This window comes from Homo sapiens, chromosome 14 (genome assembly GCF_000001405.40).
Source record: "Homo sapiens chromosome 14, GRCh38.p14 Primary Assembly".
Lineage (NCBI taxonomy): Eukaryota > Metazoa > Chordata > Mammalia > Primates > Hominidae > Homo > Homo sapiens.
In genome coordinates, this window is record NC_000014.9 from 99,765,232 (window position 1) to 99,788,519 (window position 23,288).

Sequence of the window (23,288 nt, forward strand, 5' to 3'; positions counted from 1 at the left end):
GCATGCCCAGCCCGTCTTAACCATTTTAAGTGTACAGTTGAGTGGCATTAGTCCATTCACATAGTTGTACAATCCTCACTCCCATCCATCTCCACAGCCCATTTCATCTTGCCAAGCGGAAACTCTGTGCCCACTGAACAATAACCTCCCCCCACCACGCCAGGCCCCTGGCTACCACCAATCTACTTTCTGTCTCTATGAATTTGACTGCTCTAGGTACATCATGTGAGTGTAATCATATAGTATTTGTCCTTTTATTTCCGGTTTATTTCATTTATATATCCTCAAGTCAAGGTTCCTCCGTGTTGTAACGTGTCAAAATTTTCTTCCTTTAAAGTTAAAAATATTACATTGTATAGATTTACCGCACTATATATATATATATTTTTTGAGACAGAGTCTGGCTCTTTCGCCCAGGCTGGAGTTGCAGTGATGCAATGTGGGCTCACTGCAACCTCTGCCTCCTAGGCGCAGGTGATTCTCATGCCTCAGCCTCTCGAGTAGCTGGGATTACAGGCGTGCACCACCACGCCTGGCTAATTTTTGTATTTTTAGTAGAGACATGGTTTCCACATGTTTATCAGGCTGCTCTTGAACCCCCTGCCTCAAGTATCTGCTTGTCTTGGCCTCCCAAAGTGCTGGAATTACAGGCATGAGCCACCGTGGCTGGCCTGGATTAATGGTTAATAATTAAAGGTTAATAAAATGGTTACCACATTTTATTTACTACTTACACATTCATGGCTAACGATTAATGGTTAATAAAATGATTACTACATTTTATTTACTACTTACCCATTCATCCATCAATGAACACTTAGGCTGTTTCCACCTTTTGTCGATTGTGAATGATGCTACTAGGAAAATGGGTGTGCAAACACCTATCTGAGTCTCTGCTTTCTATTCTTTTGGGGGTAGACTCAGAAGTGCAATTGTTGGATCACATGGAAATTAAACTTTTACTTTTTTTTTTTTTTTTTTGAGACAGAGTCTCACTCTGTTGCCCAGGCTGGAGTGCAGTGGTGTGATCTTGGCTCACTGCAACCTCTGCCTTGTGGGTTCAAGCAATTCTCCTGCCTCAGCCTCCTGAGTAGCTGGGATTACAGGTGCCCACCACCATGCCAGCTAATTTTTGTATTTTTAGTAGAGACAGGGTTTCACTATGTTGGCCAGGCTGGTCTCGAACTCCTGATCTTAGGGGATCCACCCACCTCTGCCTCCCAAATTGCTGGGATTACAGGCGTGAGCCACCATGTCCGGCCTAATTTTTAATGTTTTTGAAGACCTCAGTTGGTATGTTTCTATCACACATAGACCAACTAGCAATTTTAGGGGGGCTTCCCAACAGCAGCTGAGGAAGACTATTGTATTCCAGCATTAGTTAATGTCAAATGAACAGCTCCACCATTCTAGTCTTAAAAACCAGGTTTGAACTCTTCACCATTGAATTTCTCTTGGAAAATGTTAAATGTCCGCCCAAATCAACATCAATAATTTGTTTCACTTGGCAAGGATAAATGTTTAAAATTTAACGAAGCCAGCTGATTTCCACAATCCCAGGTTGCCAAGCAGCAATCATGGTAATAAATGACCAATGCTTTTCTTGTAAGAAAAATGTTTGCATGGAGAGAGAGGGTCGGCCGCTAATGGAGAGAGGCTGGCCACCGGGCTTCTATAGGAAGCAAAGTGCAATCCATCATCCTGGAGTGTTGGCTTTGAAAATGCAGCGTGTCCACTGGGAGTCACCGTTTTCCAAAGGTCCTCTTGCTGGCCCTGCTGAATCACAGTCCCATAATTCCCCCACCGCATAATATTTTTCCATCGCCATGGTGACTGTGTGAGAAGAAGGCACGGTGAGAAACTTCAGGGATTACTTCTTATTTCACGGAAACGAGATTTGACTTCTGCTAAAAAGTGGGCTACAAATTTCTATTTTAAGGAGAAGAGCTGGGTTCCATGAACCAGAGCTTACTATAGCCGAGAGGGAGCATGGGTCAGGTCTGGTCCTGGTTCCAGCACTTGCTAGTCATTGACTTTGGGCAAGACTATTTCTCTCCAAGCCTCAGTTCTTTTCTCTGTAAAACGGCATTGGCCGGGCACGGTGGCTCACGCCTGTAATCCCAACACTTTGGGAGGCCAAGGCGGGCAGATCATAAGGTCAGGATATGGCGACCATCCTGGCCAACATGGTGAAGCCCCAACTCTACTAAAAATACAAAAATTAGCTGGGTGTGGTGGCACGCACCTGTAGGCCCTGCTACTCGGGAGTCTGAGGCAGGAGAATCGCTTGAACCCAGGAAGCGGAGAGGCGGAGGTTGCAGCGAGCTGAGATCACGCCACTGCACTCCATCCTGGTGACAGAGTGAGACTCCATCTCAAGAAAAAAAAGAGGGGGATGGAGAATGGGAATTAGGGTTCTCTGTGGGATCCTTTGAAAAAAATGCAAGACATTTACAAATTGTGAGACCCTTTTCAAAAAACAAAAGCCAAATACAAGCCCCCCCTTATTTCAGGCCAAGGTGCTGTTGCAGGTGGCTTTGTCTTGCATTACTGTTGGCTGCTTTCCTCAAGGCCTCCCCCAAGTCCCCTCATTCACATACACATCTGTCACCTTCAACAAGACAGGGATTTCGCCATGAGCTTCAAGGAGACAGAGACTTTGTCTTATATTTATTCTGAACACCCCCCACACTACTTTGCTGAGCACACAACTATACTCAGAGCTGGCCTCAAGAAATCCTTGAATTCAAATTCAGATCCAGTAAATGCTTGCCAGGTCCCATCTGCCTTGGGCTGGTGGGCACAGGGTAAATCAGGTGGAAGAGGCCAAGTCACCCTGATTTGAAGTCACTCCTTCGACTTCCCAGTGGCTTCTCCCAGAGATGGGGCACGGAGAAGTGATCCCACACGAAGGGTGCACATTGAATGTAAGATTCATCCCAATTCCAGAAAGCTTCGAAAGCATAAAGGTGTGTCTTAGAGCGGAGGAAATCCAGCCATTACAATGCCACGTGCTAAGTGAAATTCTCAAGGGTGTGCTATTCTTAGACGTGACCCAGGGGAGGGAGGAACTCATTCTTCATGGTGGAGTGGTGAGATGGGGTCTCTGAGGGTCTCACGGAGCCGCTGTCTGAGCTGGGGTGGTGACGTCTGTGGCAGGAAGGATTGTGGGGTTGATGGAGCTGCCTCGGAGGAAGAGGGTCCAAAATGGCCAAAGGAACTCGGGCACAGGCGCAGAGACACAGAGCAGCATGATATGGCTCACGGAACTATCAGTCACTCCACATGGCTGGAATATAGCAAAGGGAGGAGGTGGGGGTAAGGCAGACAGGCCCAGGGCCAGGAGTGGCCATCTCTGTGACAGCACGGGATTACTGGGCACAAAGATGGGCGGAGCTTCAACTGTGTGACTCTTGCACCAGAACAGCTGGGGAAAGGGGAAGGTAGAGATGCATTCCAACAATCCCCAGGGCTGCTTCTGTGGTCTTTTTTTTTTTTTTTTTCTCAGATGGAGTCTCCCTTTGTCATCAGGCTGGAGGGCAGTGGCACAATCTTGGCTCACTGCAACCTCTGCCTCCCAGGTTCAAGTGATTGTCCTGCCTCAGCCTCCTGAGTAGCTGGGATTACAGGCACCCGCCACCATGCCTGTCTAATTTTTGTATTTTTAGTAGAGTTGGTGTTTTACCATGTTGGCCATGCTGGTCTCAAACTCCTGACCTCAGATGATCTGCCTGCCTTGGCCTCCCAAAGTGCTGGGATTACAGGCGTAAGCCACCACGCCTGGCCTGCTTGTATATTATTTTTGACAGCAGTTTGGGGATCCAGGGTGACCCAAACTGGTATTGGTTGGTGGTTTCGATGTGGGTTTGAGGTTACCAAGAACTACAGACCCCTCTACCTAGTAGGGGAACCAACTGGAAGGCTCCCTGTCTGGTCCTCCTTTCTCAGCCAGCCTCTGAGCCCCACATTTGCTAGTGACTCTGAGCAGCGTGGCCATCTCCTCGGTCAAGTCAGCCCACCAGCGGTTTTGCAGCAGGTGCTGAGCACTCGGGGAGCTGGGGTGTCAGCACACAGACAGGGAGCACTGTTCCAAGGATCATTTTCTCCCATCACAGGGCCCTCACCGTGGGCACCAGCAGGAGGTGGCCCTTTGGAAGTGGAAGCACACAGCCCTTCAAGGCTTGTCCTCAGTAGGCAGTGCTGGCCCCAGCCCTGAGTAACCTTGGCCTCCCCCACAGTGGGCAGGGACGCAAGCTCCTCTCCATTTCCAGGGATCCCATTCTCCCCAGGGCCATGCATTTAGAGCAGACAGGTCAGTTTCAATGGTTTGTCAATCTGATATCACTTCTTTCTGAGACCTGACAACTAGTTCAGGGTGATGGTCACTATCAAGTCTCTGCAGTACCTGCCCCTACACTTGAGAAATCAGTCACATGAGTTTCAGCATCAGGACAAATGTCATGATGGCTTCCAGATGTACCTGCCTTTAATGCTCAGGTTTTCTCAGGACACCACTTAAATGTAGGGACAATTCCTCCGAGGCTACATTCCCATGAGGAGCTGGCTGAGAAGTGGGCAGCAATCAGCACCAGCAGATCCTCCTTATCTTGTTCTTGCTCCTCTTTCCTCCTTTTCTTGGGAATAGAAATGGGTTCTGCTGAGCTTGGTCTGGCCCAGTTCACCCCTCCAACCACATTCCCTACCAGTCCCTTCTGTCCCCTGCAAGTTCCAGCCACCTGATGGCCCATACATGCCAGCACAAACGTTCCCGCCTCTTTACTTTGCTCACTTTGCTTTTCTCTCCTTGTCCACCGGGTTTTGATGACACTTAACCTTTGTACCATTCCCCCCCATTTCCCCTAAGATAGTGGAATGACCCTCCTCTGTCCTCCTATGATCATCAGAGCTGTGTTTGTCAGTTTGGGCTACTATAAAAGAATATCATAGACTTGGTGGATAAAACAAGAGACATTTATTGCTCACAGTTCTGGAGGCTGGGAAGTCCAAGATCAAAGTGCTGGCAGATCTGGTGTCTGGGGAGGGCTGTCTTCCTGGTTCACAGACAATTGTCTTCTTCTTGTATTCTCACATGGTGGAAAGCAAAGAAAGACGAAGCAAGCTCTCGTGTCTTTTTAAAAAATTTCTTTCTATCTATCTATCTATCTATCTATCTATCTTTTTTATTTTGACCTGCATGAAGAGAGATCATGTCTTTTTTTAAGGAAATAAATTCATTCATGTGGGTTCCACTCTTATGATCTAATCACCTCCCAAAGGCTCACCTCGAAATTCCACCATTTCATTAGCATTTCAACACATGAATTTTGGGAGGACACAAATGTTCAGTCCATAGTATCAGCTCAGTTACTTTACCTCCCTGGGCCTCATTTTCTCCATTTGTAAAACAGGGATGTTCCTATCACCTGGCGAAGTAACAAGAATTATTGAACTGTGACATATGCTGAACACAGGGCCTTGAACATAGTAGGTGCTCAAGAAACATTAATTTCTTCCCTTTCTTACTCTTCCTTACAGCAGTTTCCGCTGATTTTTTTTTTTTTTTTTTTTTTTGAGACGGAGTCTCGCTCTGTTGTCCAGGCTGGAGTGCAGTGGCGCGATCTCGGCTCAGTGCAAGCTCCGCCTCCCGGGTTCACGCCATTCGCCTGCCTCAGCCTCCCGAGTAGCTGGGACTACAGGCGCCCGCCACTACGCCCAGCTAATTTTTTGTATTTTTAGTAGAGATGGGGTTTCACCACGTTAGCCAGGATGGTCTTGATCTCCTGACCTCGTGATCCGTCCGCCTCAGCCTCCCAAAGTGCTGGGATTACAGGCGTGAGCCACCGCGCCCGGCCTCCCACTGATATTATAATGATCAGTATCTGTCTCACCCACTAGATGCTGACTTTTGCAGAGTCAATGGCTGAGATGTCTTACCTTTTTATTTATTAGAGTATATTTTTTGTCACCCTGAAAAAAGACCCCATACCCATTAGCAATTGGTCCTCATCTTCCCTTCCCCTCAGTCTCTGGGCAACCATTAATCTACTTCCTGTCTCTATGGTTTTGCCTATTCTGGACGTTTACTATAAATGGGATTATGGTCTCTTGCATGTGGCTTCTTTCACTTAACATAACGTTTTCAAGGTTCATCCATGTTGAAGCCTGTATGAGTACTTCACTCCTTTTATGACCGAGTAACAGTTCATCGCGTGGATAAACCACATTTGCCTAATCATTCATCAGCTGAGAGACATGTGGATTGTTTCCATTTTTTTGGCTATTACAAATACTTCTGCCAGGCTGGGCGCCATGGCTCACGCCTATATTCCTAGCACTTTGGGAGTCTGAGGCAGGTGGGTCACTTGAGCCCAGGAGTTTGAGACCAGCCTGGGCAACATGGTGAAACCCCATCTCCACAAAAGATACAAAAATTAGCCAGGCATGGTGGTGTGTGCCTGCAGTCCCAGCTACCTGGGAGGCTGAGGTGGGAGGATCACTTGAGTCCAGGGGATTGAGGCTACAGTGAACCATGATCATGCCACCATACTTCGGCCTGGGTGACAGAGTGAAACCCTGTCTCAAAACTAACAAATAAAAACCAAAACAAACAAACAACAAAACAAAAAATAATGCTGCCAGTTGGTTCCTTTTCATATTTTCTGTTTCTTGCCTATGTCATACCTTTTATTACAACACAGTTTTCATTACTTCATTGAATATTGTTATAACAGCTGCTTTAAAGTTCTTGTCTAACATTTTCAATATCTGGGTTATCTCAGGATTGGTATGTGTCGATTGACCGTTTTCTTGAGAAGAGGTTGCATTTTTCTGGCTCTTTGTGAGTGGAGTGATTTCGGATTGTATCCTGGATGTTGTGATTGTTCTGTGTTGTACACTCTTGATTGTGTCATATTGCTTAATAGTGTTGATGTTTTTGTTTCAGCAGACAATTAACTTGTTAGACTCACACCTCAAACTTTGTGACACTTGTAGAGGGCAGGGGCTCAGCTCTCAGTTTAGACTGCTTTTAATATGCCTTGCAAACTGTGTGTTTGGGCGCCAGCCAGAGAGCAGGGCAGAGTTTACATGCTAAATTTGGGGTTCTCCTTCTCTGGCTACCTCTTTTCTTGGGTTTCTCCCCATTCTCTAATAACCGTGGTTGTCCAGGGCTGCTTCTCTTGCTTCCTCTGTCCAGACAACAGACTTTCTACTGGAACACGGTCACCTCGTGCCACCACCACAAAGAGGGCTGCCCTGAAGACAGAGCTGTGAAAATGTGAAACTCACCCCCTGGGGGTTGATTCCTCTCCCTAGGTTTGGACATTGCTCCAAAACCTGCCTGCTTTTGTCAACTCTCCAAAGCCCTCCAGGCATTGTTTTTATTATTTTGTATAGCGTTTGTGTTGTCTGCAGGAGGTTTTTAGGACTTTTATTGCTTCATACCAGAAGTGGAGCAAAAGGTTCATGAATCAATACTTGCTCTATTTCATATCTACATATAGTATTAATATAATTCTCATATTTTCTGCTATATTTCACAACATTTCATTTGAACAATGCTCATCTCAGTCCCTGCTAAATTGATTTTATGACACATTAGTGGGTCACAACCCACTGTTTGACCCATGGTGCTCTGATGCTTGACAGACAAGGAGCAGGTGCTGTGACTGTAAGAGCCCCTTGAATGAATAAAATACAAGAATTTCTCCCTTCCCTGTCCATGGCTTAGAAGGCTTTGCATCTTGAACATCCTGGATGCAGAGCGGTCACAGGCCATCCCCACAGATAGGTTCCTACAGATGGGGTGTGTGACCATGTTCTCTCCTCCTCCACACCCCTCTGGGGCTTACAGCTACCAAAGCCCAAAATCCTTCAGGGCTCAGGCCTCAGGGCTAAACAGTGATTCACAGACTTTCACACTTCCCCACACACCCCCGCGCATGCCAACTTTTTGTTTCGGTAAATAAAGACATTCAAAAGTAATGACCATCTACTCTGGCCCTCATTTCATAAAAGCAAGGCTACTTTATCACCAATGTCAGATGAACAATCTCAGAATAAGGCTAAGTTCTAAAATTAAAATACATTTTATTTCATGACAAACTCCCTCTACATTTTCCTCACTATTCTGTAGACAGGCACTGGGGAGCCTCCCACACAGCTAGGGCCCCTGGAGCACAGGCTGCAAAGACCCCAGGAGGTCCCAGAATCTACCTGCCTTAGGCCCAGAGAGGGGTGGACGTTGCCCAGGACCATGCCGCTGGAACAGGAAAAAGGTTTTCCAGTTTTACCCCAGGCAATTCTCCATCAAAATGCCATCTGACTACAAAGAGGCAGGCACTTGCTTCCGGATCCCCTCTCTGCTCTGCAGAACTCCCAGGCCACGGAGCTGATTTCACTAACTGCAGCCGTCCCCCTGGGGCGCCCCGTCTGCCCTACTTGCCATCACCCAGATGCGCAGGATCTTGTGGCAGAAAGCAGGAGCCTGGATGGGAAGAGGAGCAGCCAGGCCGAGGTGGGCGCCGCTCCCCCTCCCCGGCCCTGCCCAGGTCCTCAGAGAGCTGGGACCTGAGACTCATTAGTGCCTGCATAATGGATGCCTCCTTCTCTCTTCTTGGAAATCCCCAGCCCATCTTGCTTAATGGCCACGAGGGAAGTGGGATACCGGCGCTCTGCTCGTAAAGCCGGCCTCTGCCCCCCGCATCTCCCCTTGGAGGAGGGGCGGCTGGGCGGCTTACACAGGGGAGGCCTGGTCTCTTGTCTTCTGCTTCACGACGGCTGGGTGAGCATCTTCCCCCACTCCCTCCTTCAGTCTGTCCTTCTGAGGGGCTGGGGTACTGGGACAAGGGCGGGGGGCCTCTGAACCACACTTGGGGTGGGCAGAAAGAGCCTGGGCCAGGAGAAGAGCCCTTGGCAGGACTCCAGGGGAGACAGGGAGGGAGGGAGGATGACAGAGAGCTCCAAGCAAAGAGCAGAGGGGTTGGAGATGAGAAGCAGGATTCTAGGCATGGGGGGACTTTCCCAGGCTCTAGAATGACTCTGGTCACAGTGACAGCGTGGCCTTGTGACCTCCACCCTAACCCGCATCCACGCTCCTCACCACATTGTTCTTAGGCAGCTCTGGGGCCTGGCAGGGCCCAGAGTCACCTGGTTTGGCCATGGCGATTGTTAAAAGATGCAAATGCTTCTGTAATGCCCAGTATTTTTGTAATGTTGCCCTATCCTCCATGCCTCCCGAGTGTACCCTTTTTCCTTCCCTCACCCTCCTCCTCTGGGACTCCTCAGACCTCCCCATATCCACCCACTCAAGGGTTCATGCTTGGCACGGGAGCAGCCCTCCAAGCCCCTGCTCTAGCCCTGGCCACATAGGATGCTGCATAATTTCAATAGCTCCACTGGGATAGTCTGGGTGCTCAGCAGCATGGCTGAGTGACGTTTGCACCCTTGGGCGGATGCCCTGCCTGCTGGTGAGGGCCATGCTTGTAGTGCCCTGCAGTTCTAGGGGTAAGGGGCCATCTTCCCATGTCTGTGTGAAGCCTTGAGTAGGGGAGAAGCTGAAGGAAGGAAGGGCAGAAGGAGGGGGTGGCTTGCCAGCATCCTCTTGAATGAGAATGAAAGTTGAGAGTGGAAATTTTAATTGCAAAACCCACTGACAGCTTGACTTTAAGGGAAAAGATGAGCTAAATTTAACCTAGCCAGTTAAAGAGCCAAAAATGCAATTTACTAATTAGCTTAAAATGGAAAGTAGTCCAGTGATCAGAAAAAAAGCTTTTCTGTTTAAAAAAAAATACAAAATAGAGTTGATTCCTCTTTTCATACTGACATGCATTTGAATACTGTTATGTAATTAGGAATGCGGTTTGCTGGCGCACTGCCCAGGACACAGAGGCAGAGCATCACAGCATCACAGCCTTCTTGAAAAGTTACAGGAGCCTTGAAATAGGCATGAGCCTATGTCTTCAAGTCAAATCTGTTTCCTAATTACAGAGCATCCAGGAGGGATCCGATCTCTGTTCTCAGGGAGTGCAGAGCTCAGTGGGTGAACTAGGCAAGGCCACAGAGGACTGTCACAGACCTGGACAGGTACTAGGCACTGAGGCATTCAGAGGAGGGAGAAAGGGCATATGACAGGGAGGGAAGAGCCGGCTCCCGGAACAGTGGCATTTGAGATGAACTTGAGACGTGGTGGCTGGGGAAATGTGGAGCAGTGGGAAGGGACAGTCAAGATGTGAGATGGAAAGAGTGAGGCAGACCCAGAGTACAGCAAGTGCTTCACTTCACAGGCAAGTAGGCTGAGGCATGGATGGACGTGACAGATCCCACGCCAGCAAGGTTGATCTGGCACCATGATGGCAGGCCCATGGGCTGGGTTTACTCTTCATGACGGGCAGCAGGGAGCCCAGGGGCTTTTGATCTGGAGAGTGATTGCATTGGAGTTGCGTTTTAGTGAGTGGCCCAGCCGCCATGTGGAAGCTACGTTTTCATGACTGTGGTATGTATTTTACTTCACATGATTTTTGCACCAATTTGAAAGGCGTGCCTAAGATATGCATATAACTTATTAGCCTCTCCGCTCCTTTGTGTAATGGCAGTATTGGGATAGCAATTCAAGGTCATTTCAAGGACCTTGAATAAAACATTTTGTAGATTCATCCAGGACCCATTATAAGAACATTAATAGTTTTGACACGAAAATAATATTTGAGAGGAATTTTACAGCACAATTTCATGATACAGTTTATGTTTATATTCTTCCAGCTAAAACATGATTTTTCAAAACTATGGCTGTCTTTTAAGAATATTTTCCTGCTGCTTTCAAATGGTGCAACAAAATGTCCTACAAGCAAAAATGAAATCTTAGCAGGTAACACAGCCATTCCTAGATTAAATATATAGAAGAGATTCTCCTCAGAGCCCTTACAGATGAAGCTGAAAGGAAGCAATTATGTTTGTTATAAATGGAGGAAATATAAAAACCTGTGAAATTGACCAGGTGCGGTGGCTCATGCCTGTAATCCCAGAACTTGGGGAGGCCAAATCAGGTGGATCACCTGAGGGGTCGGGAGCTCGAGACCAGCCTGGCCAATATGGTGAAACCCCGTCTCAACTAAAAATACAAACAATTAGCAGGGTGTGGTGGTGGGCACCAGCAATCCCAGCTACTTGGGAGACTGAGGTGGGAGAATCGCTTGAACCTGGGAGGTAGAGGTTGCAGTGAGCTGAGATCGCACCACTGCACTCTAGCCTGGGTGACAGAGCGAGACTCCATCTCAAAAAAAAAAAAACAAAACCTGTGAAATTAATTAGTGCAGAATCCCTATGATGTACAGCCGAACATTTTACTATCAGGTTTATTGGATATAACTAGCTTTTACTACAGGACGTCAGTAAAAGTGCACAAAATAATGTAATTAAGGGGCACAGCTCAGTATATGCTACATAAGTGAATTCTAATTTGTCATCACGAGTAATATTGGCCGTAAGTGAATTCCCCTCTTCTCAAATGGTGATATGTTTCCTGAAAGTTTGTTCTTCAGCTACCTTTCCTACAGCCACGTCGATTTCTCAACAGAGTGGCCAGTATAAGAAGACATAGATTACATATTCATATATTGTGCAGGATTTTTTTCCTGATGGATTTATCATAGGAAAACTTTAAATCATGAGCTTCAACCACTGTTGTCCCAAGACCTCAACTGATTTCAAATGTAGAATTGAGAGTTCTTCAGAAAATCAGCTACCACGCAAAATAAAGTAAAAGGCACATACAGCTTTAACCTCCTTGAAGTTTTTCTTATTAAAAGGAAAGGTCCTCTCTGAGCAGGAATTGAGATTTCCTCTTCAGCTGTCCCAGCAGCCAACCCACAGAAGAAGACTCACAGCAAATGTTTGTAGACTGAATGAATCAATGAACAAACTGAGAACAAATAAATAAATGGGAGCTCAAGAAGAAAGATTAAAATGTACATGATTTTAAGCTTAATTTAAATTTATCAGTTACAGACTGCACGTACTTAAAAAAAAAAATCAAGCAGTTCTACAAGGCTTAAGACAAAGAAGTTGCAGTTCCCTCCCCTCATTTCCCACGCCATCCCTAGCGTTCTTCCTACCTCCCGGAAGCAGTTACCACTTCCAAATATGTTACCCTTGCCTTTTGGTATGTCTTTACCTTTCTTTCTTTTTTTGTTTCTTTTTGTTTGTTTGTTTGAGAGGAGTCTTGCGCTGTCGCCCAGGCTGCAGTGCAGTGGCATGATCCTGGCTCACTGCAACCTCTGCATCCCAGGTTCAAGTGATTCTCCTGCCTCAGCCTCCCCAGTAGCTGGGATTACAGCCACCTGCCACCAAGCCCAGCTGATTTTTGTATTTTTAGTAGAGACGGGGTTTCACCACGTTGGCCAGGCTTGTCTCAAACTCCTGACCTCAAGCAATCCGCCCGCCTCAGCCTCCAAAAGTGCTGGGATTAGAAGCGTGAGCCACCACGCCCGCTGCCTTTACCTTTCTTGAAATAACATGCATATACTGCTACTTCCTGACTGTCCAAGTCCAAGCATTTTTGTGGGGCAGTTTGTTTTGTTTTGTTTTTTTGTTTTGAAACAGGTTCATGCTCTGTTGCCCAGGTTAGGCTTACTGCAGTCTCAACCTCCTGTGGCTCAAGTGATCCTCTCCCTTCAGCCTCCTGAGCAGCTGAGACTACAGGCACACACCACCATGCCTGGCTAATTTTTGCCATTTTATTTTATTTTATAGAGACAGGGGCTCACTATGTTGCCAAGGCTGGTCTCGAACTCCTGGACTCAACTGCCTCAGCTTCGTGAAGTGTTGGGATTACAGGCATGAGTCACCAATTTGCAAGGCACCAATTTGAAAAGGTCTGGGCCAGGCATTTTTTAATCTGTTAATGTCCTGCCAGGAAGATGAAGATTTAGTTCTCACTCACATTGCTTACTCCATACTCACATGTGGATACATACCCTTCCTCTTCCTAATATAGTCATGTCAGAATTTTAAAATTTGGCCTGTGTGTTTATATTACTATGACTATCAAACACTACTCAAAGTTAAGCCATATTGTATGATTGAATTTCCTTTCTTAGACAATTTTTTGTTTTTCCTGTAGTAAATTACTGTCTTCTATTTTCCATGTATCATTCACTAAGTCATCCCCAACTATTCTGCCTTATATGTAAATCTTTTTCTGACAGCTTCTAATTTCAGCTTCTTGGTGGCATTTCTCCGGAGCCTCTGTTATCCCACTGTAGTCTGGACTGGTTGCCTGTTAGCATGATTGTTACTGTCCATCCACTTCCTGCAGATTCCTTTTATTTCTCTCCTGTGTTGATTCCTTGTTTTCTGAATCCCATGTAATCTTTCTTGGCAACTCCCTCGTTTTGGTGAAGCACATCCTGCAGTAGCTTCCTGAGAAAGGAGGCACAGAAGAGCTAAGTTTTTGAGATCTTGTGTGACTAGAAATGTCTTTATTCCACTTGCACACATGATTTGATGGTGTGTCTGGGTCTTTAATTACAGGTTAAAATAATTTTTTCCCTCAAAAATGTATTCTTTGCATTTATCTGTTGTTTTCTAGCTCCTATCATTACTGTTTAGAAATCCAATGCCATTCTAATTCTTAATTCTTTGTCTGAGACTGTTGTTTCTCTCTAGAAGCTTTTTGAATGTTTTCCTATCCCCAGTGTTCTAAAACATCTGGTGCATATAACAGCTGATGGACGTAACATTTGGTGGGTATAAATAACATTTGGTGGTGGTGTTTTGTTTTGTTTTTCCTCCAATGTGCTGGGCACTCAGTAGGCTCTTTCAATCTAGAAATTCATGTGTCATGTTTCTTTGTTTTGGAAACTTTTCTTGAATTATTTCTTTGATGATTTCCCTTCCTCTATTTTCTTCATTTTCTCTTCCTGAAACTTGTTATTCAGATGCTGAACTTCCCAATATGATATCCCATTTTTTTCCTCCTATATTCTGTGTAGCTTTGTCTTTTTTGTTCTATTTTTCTGGGAGATTTCTTCAACTCTATCAGTAGACATTGCTGTGGGGATTGTATTTCTACGGCCATATTTTTAATTTTCAAAGATGTTTTATCATCTAATTTTATAAATAGCATTCTTATTTTGTGGATGCAATAACTTTGACCTATGAGGATATAAATAATAGTTTTATTTCCTTCTGCTGTCTGTGTTGTCTGTTTCCTCATATCCCCTCACTCTACCTTTTTTTGTTACTTTTATATGTTCTCAAATGTTCAGATTCTTGGCTCTCCATTCAAGTCTTAGAGGGGGGACATTCAAACAGTACCTGCAAGTCCTGAGACTACAGATGACACTTGTCAACAGGCGAACTTCACTTTATTTCCCAACCTGCCCAACCTCTAGGTCTTTCCACAAGACTTCGTCATATTCCCTAAAAAAGGTCCTTCCACACTTTTGCCTGGACAGCAGACCCCTGGCTGCCAATGTTCTGAGAGCTGAGGGTAGGAAGGGGCTGGGGTGAGGTCTGATCATTCAGCATCAGGCTATCATTTATTTGCCATCTTCAGGATGCTTCCCCTCCCCTCTGGTATGCCTTTGTGTAGAGAACCCCTTGGTTCACCTATTTAACAGATTGAAACTCCAATCTTCACAGTGAGAGGAAGGAGACGGGGGAGGAATCTATCTGCTTCTGTCTTAGTCACCTTGGGCTGCCATAGCAAAATACCATACACTGGGTGACTCAAACAACAGAAATTTATTCCTCACTATTCTGGAGGCTTGAAGTCTAGTCAGAGTGCCAGCATGGTTGGTTCCTGGTGAGGGCTCTCTTCCTGGCTTGCAGACTGCCACCTTCTTGCTGTGTCCTCACATGGCAGAGAGAAAGTAAGAGATATATCTCTCTCTCTCCCTTTTTATAAGGTCACTAATCCTAACAGATCAGGGCCTCACCCTTAAGACCTCATTTAACCTTAATTACTTCCTAAAGGACCCATCTCTAAATACAGTCACATTGGGGGTTGGGTTTTCAGTGTATGAGTTTGGAAGGGAGCACAGTTCAGTCCACAGCAGTTTCTTAAGCAGACCCTCTTTTGCCCCCACTGTGACAGGTACCTGGTCCTGCCCATTCCTAAGCCTTTGGGGGTTCTCTGTGGGGAAGTAGGTTGCTGGTTGGCTGCCCACCCTTGCTAGCTTTGAGTTCAGCTTGTCTGGGGCAGATGAGACTGTACCTCCCCTTTTCCTATTTTCCAGTTTGAAGTTGTATGGAGGTTGTTTTTCTTCCATCCTCTCTGTCCTCAGGAGTTTTAGCAGAACATGGAGGCAAACTCAATACTTTCCCTGGAAAGATGCTGATAGAGCTTCCTGCCAACAAGGATGTTTATGTTGCCAACAAGTGCCATCATAAGCATCACGTGCCGCATCATGATGAGTGGGTCAGGGATGGACTGCACGTATGATGATGGTCCCATAAGGTTATGACACTGTATTTTTAATATACCTTTTCTCTGTTTAGAGATGTTTACGTTCACAAATACTTACCATTGTATAATAGTTGCCTACGATATTCAGTACAGTAGCCTGTCATGCAGGTTTGCAGCCTAGGAGCAATGGGCTGTACCATGTAGCCTAAGTGTGTAGTGGGCTGTACCATCTGGGCTTATGTAAGTGCACTCTACGATGCTCGCACAATGATGAAATTGCCTAACAGCATAGTTCTTAGAACGTATCCCATCGTTAAGCAACACCTGTGTTTGTTGAATCAATGGTTGAAGCCTCACATTTCCTATGGCATTTCATCCACCTCATCCTTTAACCTTCCTCTCCCGGGTGATGAAGCATCTCTCCTTCTTTCCAAGGACACGCGCCCCTGCCCCCAGAATACTGGTTGGGTCCAGCTCAGTCCTCTGGACCCCTGTTCCACTGGCCGCCTCCCTTCTCCTTGACTCGTCCCCAGCTTCTAATTCTTTCCTCTAATTCTTTCCTCCTCCCATCAAGTGTGCTTGGCTCTTCCCCTCCTGACACCGCCCCCTCAGGTGGGTTTCCCGGTGCCTTTCTCCTCCCCCACCACCTGTTTCCTGGCCAGCTCTAGCCCTAAGGCCCTGCCCTTGCTCATGGGGTGTGCCTCCCATGCTGTATGGCATCCTCACTGCCAAGGCCATGCCCTCCCCCTGCACTCACTTCCTGATTCCTACACCCCACCACTCCTGCCCTCTAGACCCCAGATCCTCTCTTGGCTTCTTCTGCATCCGCAGTGTGGTCTGGCGGGCCAGTTCCCCACCCCACAGCTGGGAGGATGGCTGCCAGCCCAACCCAGGCTCACACCACCTCACCTGGAACAGGTCCCACTAGTTTGTCTTCATGCTTCGTGTCCCCTGGCCCAGGTATGTGCACTTCCCATCAGTCTTCCTGAAGCACAGTCCTAATTCTGTGGCTTCCAAGGGGCTCCCATTGCCCATAGACTAAGCCCAGCCTGTTAGTATGGGGTCCCAGGTTCACTGCAATGGGGCCAGATGCCTTCAGTCTGAGCTCCCTGTCCCCTCTTTGACATTAACAGAGCTGGATGTCTCATCAGTTTCCAGACATACTGAGTATGCATTTCTAGCCTCTTTCCCGCCTCCTCTCCATACCTCTCATCTCCCAGACTCCTTGAGGCTGGAGGTATGCTCCCCCGCTTTTGACTTCTGGACTCCTCAGTCCGCCTCAGACCCTGGGGTTTCACTAATCCCCATGTGTCTGTCGGTCCCAAACCCAAGCAACAAATACTTTCCAAATATGCCTTGCAGGGCAAGCACGGCTAAACCCGGGTCTGCACCTACAGCAGGAGGCCCGCAGCCCCACCCTATCGTAGGGCACTGTTATCCTACCTGTCCCCAGCCAGGGTGTCAGCTTGCATGCTTGGGTAGAATCTGCCCTTTCCCCTCTCCTTCCTTCCCCAACCCCTCCACCCCCACCACCTCTCTCTTATTCCATCTTCCATTGAAGAGGTGGCTGCTCAAAGTAGAAAAGTGAGGGTTTGGGCCTGACAGGACTGGGTTTAAATCCCAGCTCTACCATTTACCAACGTTGTGACCTCAGGCCAGGCCCCTGAGCCTCTGGTCCTAGGGAGTTTCCTTACATGCAAGGTGCAGGCAGTACCAGCTAGGCTTGCAGCAGAGACTGGAGCCAGCGCCTGATGGTGACTGGGGGCCTGTGTGAGTGTGACCTGCGGCGTGTTTGCTCCCCTCTGAGCTGTGAGACCCTCGGGTGTGGGATGGTGCATTGTTCCCCATTGTGTCTCCTGTTCCTGGCACAACAGGGCACTCAGTGTGGCGAAATGTGTGAGCCCAGGGTCAGTTCTCAGCAATTGTCTGTGATGAAGAACCGGTGACCAAGCCTGTGAGGGAGATAGGGGAGCAACTTCTTATTGAGTTGACTTCCAGAAGGATGCTGAGGACCTTTGCCCTACTCTCTGGTATAGCTGGAGTCCTGGGACCATGGCAAAAATATGAGCAAGAGTTACCGGACCCCCCATTAATTAGGAAGAAGTACAGCATCTCTAGAACACCAGGATGGAAAAGCCTGTGAAGGAGATGATGGGAGGGGAGTAGGCAAGCCTCAGTAGTGAGACTTTTCCTGGACTTTCCTGATACAAATCCAGGTTTCTGGCCATTTCTTTTTATTTCTTGTAACTTCGATATTGTAAGGCAGCTTATGATAGCATTTGAAGCATAACCTGTATCAATCTAGACAATCTTCTTTCAATGCACACTATGGAAAGACTCTAAATCGTTTATATATATATATATTTTTATTATACTTTAAGTTCTAGGGTACATGTGCACAACATGAAGGTTTATTACATATGTATACATGTGCCATGTTGGTGTGCTGCATTCATTAACTCATCATTTACATTAGGTATAGCTCCTAATGCTATCCCTCCCCCCTCCCCCCACCCACAACAGGCCCTGGTGTGTGATGTTCCCCTTCCTGTGTCCAAGTGTTCTCATTGTTCAATTCCCACCTATGAGAGAGAACATGCGGTGTCTGGTTTTTTGTCCTTGCAATAGTTTGCTGAGAATGATGGTTTCCAGCTTCATCCATGTCCCTACAAAGGACATGAACTCATCATTTTTTATGGCTGCATAGTATTCCATGGTGTATATGTGCCACATTTTCTTAATCCAGTCTATCATTGATGGACATTTGGGTTGGTTCTTTCTTTATTAACTAGGATGGCCATACAATTTATCATCCAAACTAGAATACTTTCCAGAGTTAAAGGGGTACTTTTTTTTTTTTTTTTTGAGACAGAGTCTTGCTCTGTCACCCAGGCTGGAGTGCAGTGGTGTGATCTCAGCTCACTGCAACCTCCACCTCCTGGGTTCAAGCAATTCTCCTGCCTCAGCCTCCTGAGTAGCTGGGACAACAGGTGTGGGCCTCCATGCCCGGCTAATTTTTGCATTTTTAGTAAAGAAGGGGTTTCACCACATTGGCCAGGATGGTCTCGATCTCCTGACCTCGTGATCTGCCCTCCTCGGCCTCCCAAAGTGCTGGGATTATAGGCGTGAGCCACCACGTCTGGCCCCAAAGGGGTACTATTAATGAGCACCCAGGACAAAGGCCTAAACCTGGCTGTCCCAGGCCTTCTGGGATGAGTGGTTGCCCTAATATTAGCTTATTTGCTCTGTGGTTAGTCTGTGGCATGCCAGGAACGGCCATAAAACCTTACAGGCAACGCGATGGAGTGAATGAACAAAATGCCCTGGAAATCCTGTTGATTGGTGGAGATGCTACGGTTGGAAATTCATTTGCAATCTACTGCGGTGCCCGCACTATTGCATGAATTAGAGACAATCACAACATCAAGTTTCCTAAATGTAAGGACTTTTTCTTGTCTTCTTTTTTTTTTTGAGATAGGATCTTGCTCTGTCGCCCAGGCTGGAGTGCAGTGGCACGATCACGGCTCACTGTAGCCTTGACCACCCAGGCTCAAGCAATCTTCCCACCTTTCAGTCCCCTGAGTAGCTGGGACCACAGGCACATGCTACCACGCTTGGCTAATTTTTGTGTTTTGTATAGAAACAAGGTTTCACCATGTTGCCCAGGCTGGTCTCAAACTCCTGGACTCAAGGGATCTGCCCACCTTGGCCTCCTCAAGTGCTGGGATAACAGGTGTAAGCCACTGTGCCTGGCCTGCAAGGACATTTTAAAAAGAATTAGCCAAGCAAATATTGCTTTTAATTTCCCACTTCAGATACTTCAAAATATGTAAATTCTTTTGATGGAGTCCAATCATTAGGAATACTTTTGGGTAAATAGCCTACTGGGTTTCTTAGATAATAGAGTTGTCATATCCATTTGGACTATCAACAGATTATCTGTGGAAGGGTCTGAAGTTCATGATTCTGCAGTGTTGACATTGTGTAATAGGATAATGAAGCTGGAGAGGCCCTTGATAAGGCCGTCTTTATCACACAGTGTTGTTTCTCGGCCAGTGCCTCTCCCCCATTCCAGCCCATCCAGGCCGGATGACACACGGGAAAACAAGGAGCTGGCTTCACCAGGCTGACAAGGTCTCACCTTCATAAGATAAGCTGTAGAACTGCATCCCTGTGTGAGGCTCCCAGCCAGGGGCATGGCCAAGGAGCTCACAGACTGAGTGGAAAGACATTTCCAACAGCAGGAATCTCACAACCAAAGCCCCAGGGGCAGACTATTGTGGGGTGTTTGGGAAATGGAAAAGCAGAGGGATTGACAGGGGCCAAAGAACTGGAAGAACTAGAGGAGCCATGAAGGACCCTGAAAGCCAGTCTGCATGGTTAGGACTTCGCTATGTAGGCTTCTTTTTTTTTTCTTTTTCTTTTCTTTTTTTTCAAATGGAGTTTCACTCTTGTTGCCCCGTCTGGAGTGCAATGGCATGATCTCGGCTCACTGCAACCTCCACCTCCCAGGTTCAAGCAATTCTCCTGCCTCAGTCTCCCCAGTAGCTGGGATTACAGACACACGCCACCATGACTGGCTATTTTTTGTATTTTTAGTAGAGATGGGGTTTCACCATGTTGGCCAGGCTGGTCTCGAACTCCTGACCTCAGGTGATCCACCTGCCTTGGCCTCCCAAAGTGTTGGGATTACAGGCGTTAGCCACCGCGCCCAGCCTCCTTTTTCTCTAATAAGGAGAATAATCTTAACACTGGAAGGGATAGAAGAAACATCCCTGGGGAGAAATTGCCAAGAGCCTAAGAAAGGCAAGAGATGGCAAGAGACTGTTCAGTTACTGTGAATACATTCTCCAGGCCTCAGTAAGCCAGCTCTAATTTTGCCAGATGGGAGTCGCAGAAAACTGGGAAGGGATAAAAGGTCATAAGTTTCCAAAAAGCAGAAAAAGTTGGATTCTGGAAAATACAGATGATACGTTTGATATTAATATCGGTTCTGAGCAAAAATTTTCACAGATCTTTGAAGAGCTAGCATGTAAACACTTGGAAGGAAAAGTGGCGCCTAAGAGCCAAACCAACCTCGTTCCCTGTTTTTCTGTGTTACCAGACCGAATTTACAAAGCAACGGAGAGGCTCCTTCACAAAATCCTGTGGACAATGAAGAAGAAAATAGGCTGGGTGAACGAACGGTTGGGGTGATTTCATTTTTAGTTAGGCAGGTATTTCCAAAGCACTGAGAAACACATCAATAGAGATGTGGCTGGGGAGGCATCCAGTGCCATACAGAGGACTCTGCACCCCTCCCGCAGCGCTAACCTGATGATCAATTACAAGGACGAAGGAGACATTGAAGGGTGCATTATGGCACATTCACGGCTAGTTCACGGAAGTTCAACATGGAGCCTACAGTCCACACCCTGGCTGCTCAAAAAAAAAAAAAAAAAAAAAATCAACACACGCTTCAGTTGCATCAATAGAATCATAATATTCAGGTTACTAAAGGGAGATGCCACCCAGGTGAAAGTGCTCTGAGGTTACTGTATGCAGTTCTGAGTACCTGAATCTTCAGGATTCAGGATAAAAGGATCTGGTTGGGTGGAATGGACATCTCTCCAGACAAGGGGTCTAGCAACAATGTCACATGATGGGCAGGGAGGAAATGGAGAATGTTACCCTGGAGAAGATGTGTGTTCTCTTCCAGGCATTTGAAAACCTATCATGTGTAATGGGCAACCACTTTTGTCCAGAGTTCATTCATTCACTCAGCATTTACTCACTGCCAACTACGTTCAACCTTGTGTCAAGCATGATGGGCATTAGGGGTATATCATCTCCCAGGAGAGACAGACTTGTACACAAGTTCCCACAAGGCAAAGCAGACTGGCACAAGGGCAGATGTGCTCATGACTGCAGAGGCCCTGTTGATGGGGCAGCTCCTACCCTGGCGGGCAGGGGAGGCGGACACTGAGGACTAGGGCACAGCACTGGCCAAAGTTCAAAGCCTTCAAGTGCACGGCACGTCTGAGAGTCGCGAAGAGGAGCTTTCGGATAGCACAGTGGGGCAGGGGTGTGTTGAATGCCAAAGATGGCATTTGCAGCAGGAGTGCAGACTGACTTGAAGTTCGTGCCAAGATGTTTGCACTTAATATGGTAGGCAGCAGAGAATGAAAGGACATCAGTTAGCACCTCTTTGGGTAAGTTAACCCTGGAGTAATGAAGCAGGGCTGGGTAAACCAGGACACAGGCTACTGTTGCAATGTTCCAGAGGAGACAGAAGCCAGAACCAGGACAGAGGGAGATGAAATTGACCAGACAAAAGTAGGATTGGTGAAGAATGCTTTGGCAAGGGCAATTTAGGATAAAAATAAACAACAATCTTTTTAATAATTGGAGTGCTTCAGATCTGAAAGGGGCAGAGTGACCATTTGTCAGGGATGTTGTAGAAGGGACAGCTGCATCAGCAAGTGGGTTGGAGGCCGCAGAGTTGAATGTTCCCTTATGGTTGTTAGACTCAGTGATTACCTCTTATTTTGTAGAGTAACAATTTTATCATGAGAAGCTATATTTTATATTTTAATATGAGTAGTGAATGGTGCTGCATCTGTGGAATAGTCAATTCTTGACTCTGAGATTCTTTTTTTTTTTTTTTTTTTTTGAGACAGAGTCTCACTCTTGTTGTCCAGGCTGGATTGCGGTGGGCACGATCTTGGCTCGGCTCACTGCAACCTCTGCCTCCCCAGTTCAAGCGATTCTCCTGCCTCAGCCTCCCTAGTAACTGGGATTATATCCACCTGCCACCATGCCTGTCTAATTTTTGTATTTTTAGTAGAGATGAGGTTTCACCATGTTGGCCAGGCTGGTCTCGAACCCCTGACCTCAGGTGATCTGCCTGGCTTGGCCTCCCAAAGTGCTGGTATTCCAGGCGTGAGCCACCACACCCAGATTGACTCTGAGATTCTATACTAACTGTATTGATCTGCTCGGACTCCCTTAAGAATGTGCCACCAACTGGAGGCCTGAAACAACAGGAATTAATTTTCTCATAGTTCTGGAGGTCAGAAGTCCAAAACCCAGGTGTGGGCAGGGCTGGATCCTTCTGTGGCCCCTCTCCTTGGCTTGCAGGTGGCCATCTCCTCCCTGTGTCTTCACTTTATCTTCCCTCTGTGTGCATCTGTGTCCAAATTTCCCCTTCTTATAAGGACACCAGTCATATTGGATTCGGGCCCAGCCTAATGCCCTCATTTTAACTTGATTACATCTGTAAAGGCCCCATCTTCAAGTAAGGTCACATTCTGAGGTCCTGGGCATTAGGACTTCAACAGATGAATTTTTGCAGGGACACAGTTAAGCCCATGACATTAACTGAAGGTCAACTTTTCTCTGCTCTTAGAGTAAAATCAGAAGCCCCTGACAGGCTGTCCAAGGCCCGCTGCAAGCAGGGCCTCCCCATCTCCTACCCTAGCTTGCCTGATGTGGCTGCCCCTTGCTCTACCCACGGCTGTTCTGGTAGCTTCTTTTCCTCCTTATTCCAGTCCAGACCCTCAGAAATAATCTGAAATCCTTCCACCTAGCTTTGTTCCTTGGCGCTTATCATTTGTATTTATACAACTATCTGTACAATTATTATATGTCCAAATGTCTCTTAGATTGTGACCGTGACCCACAACAAGAAATGCCTTGTATTATACATCGCAACTCAGCACATGTAGGTACATTGTAAGTAAATACCAATGTTTCCAGCACAAATACTCGTTCTTACTATGCTCAGTGCAGTCCAAAATTGTCTATTCCATTTCATGTTAAAAACTGTGTTAGAATATACACAACAGCCAGGCATGGTGGTGTGTGTCTGTAGTTTCAGCTGCTTGGGAGGCTGAGGAGGGAG

The 23,288-nt window shown here is 46.8% G+C and overlaps 1 protein-coding gene across 3 annotated transcripts in view, besides 3 other annotated features; it reads left to right on the forward strand.

The window, feature by feature from the left end:
* Positions 1-23,288, forward strand: part of EML1 (EMAP like 1) — a 204,339-nt gene that overhangs the window by 27,510 nt on the left and 153,541 nt on the right. The window lies entirely within an intron of this gene.
* Positions 2,664-3,622: an enhancer, noted in NCBI's record as "H3K4me1 hESC enhancer chr14:100234232-100235190 (GRCh37/hg19 assembly coordinates)". NCBI's record gives its function as "activates a minimal SCP1, AML or CMV promoter by ChIP-STARR-seq in naive H9 embryonic stem cells {active_cell/tissue: H9 hESC(naive)}" and the evidence as "EXISTENCE:reporter gene assay evidence [ECO:0000049][PMID:30033119]".
* Positions 3,623-4,579: an enhancer, noted in NCBI's record as "H3K4me1 hESC enhancer chr14:100235191-100236147 (GRCh37/hg19 assembly coordinates)". NCBI's record gives its function as "activates a minimal SCP1, AML or CMV promoter by ChIP-STARR-seq in naive H9 embryonic stem cells {active_cell/tissue: H9 hESC(naive)}" and the evidence as "EXISTENCE:reporter gene assay evidence [ECO:0000049][PMID:30033119]".
* Positions 15,461-15,755: a silencer, noted in NCBI's record as "tiled region #11273; K562 Repressive non-DNase unmatched - State 22:ReprW". NCBI's record gives its function as "represses a minimal TATA promoter and a strong SV40 promoter by Sharpr-MPRA in K562 cells {active_cell/tissue: K562}" and the evidence as "EXISTENCE:reporter gene assay evidence [ECO:0000049][PMID:27701403]".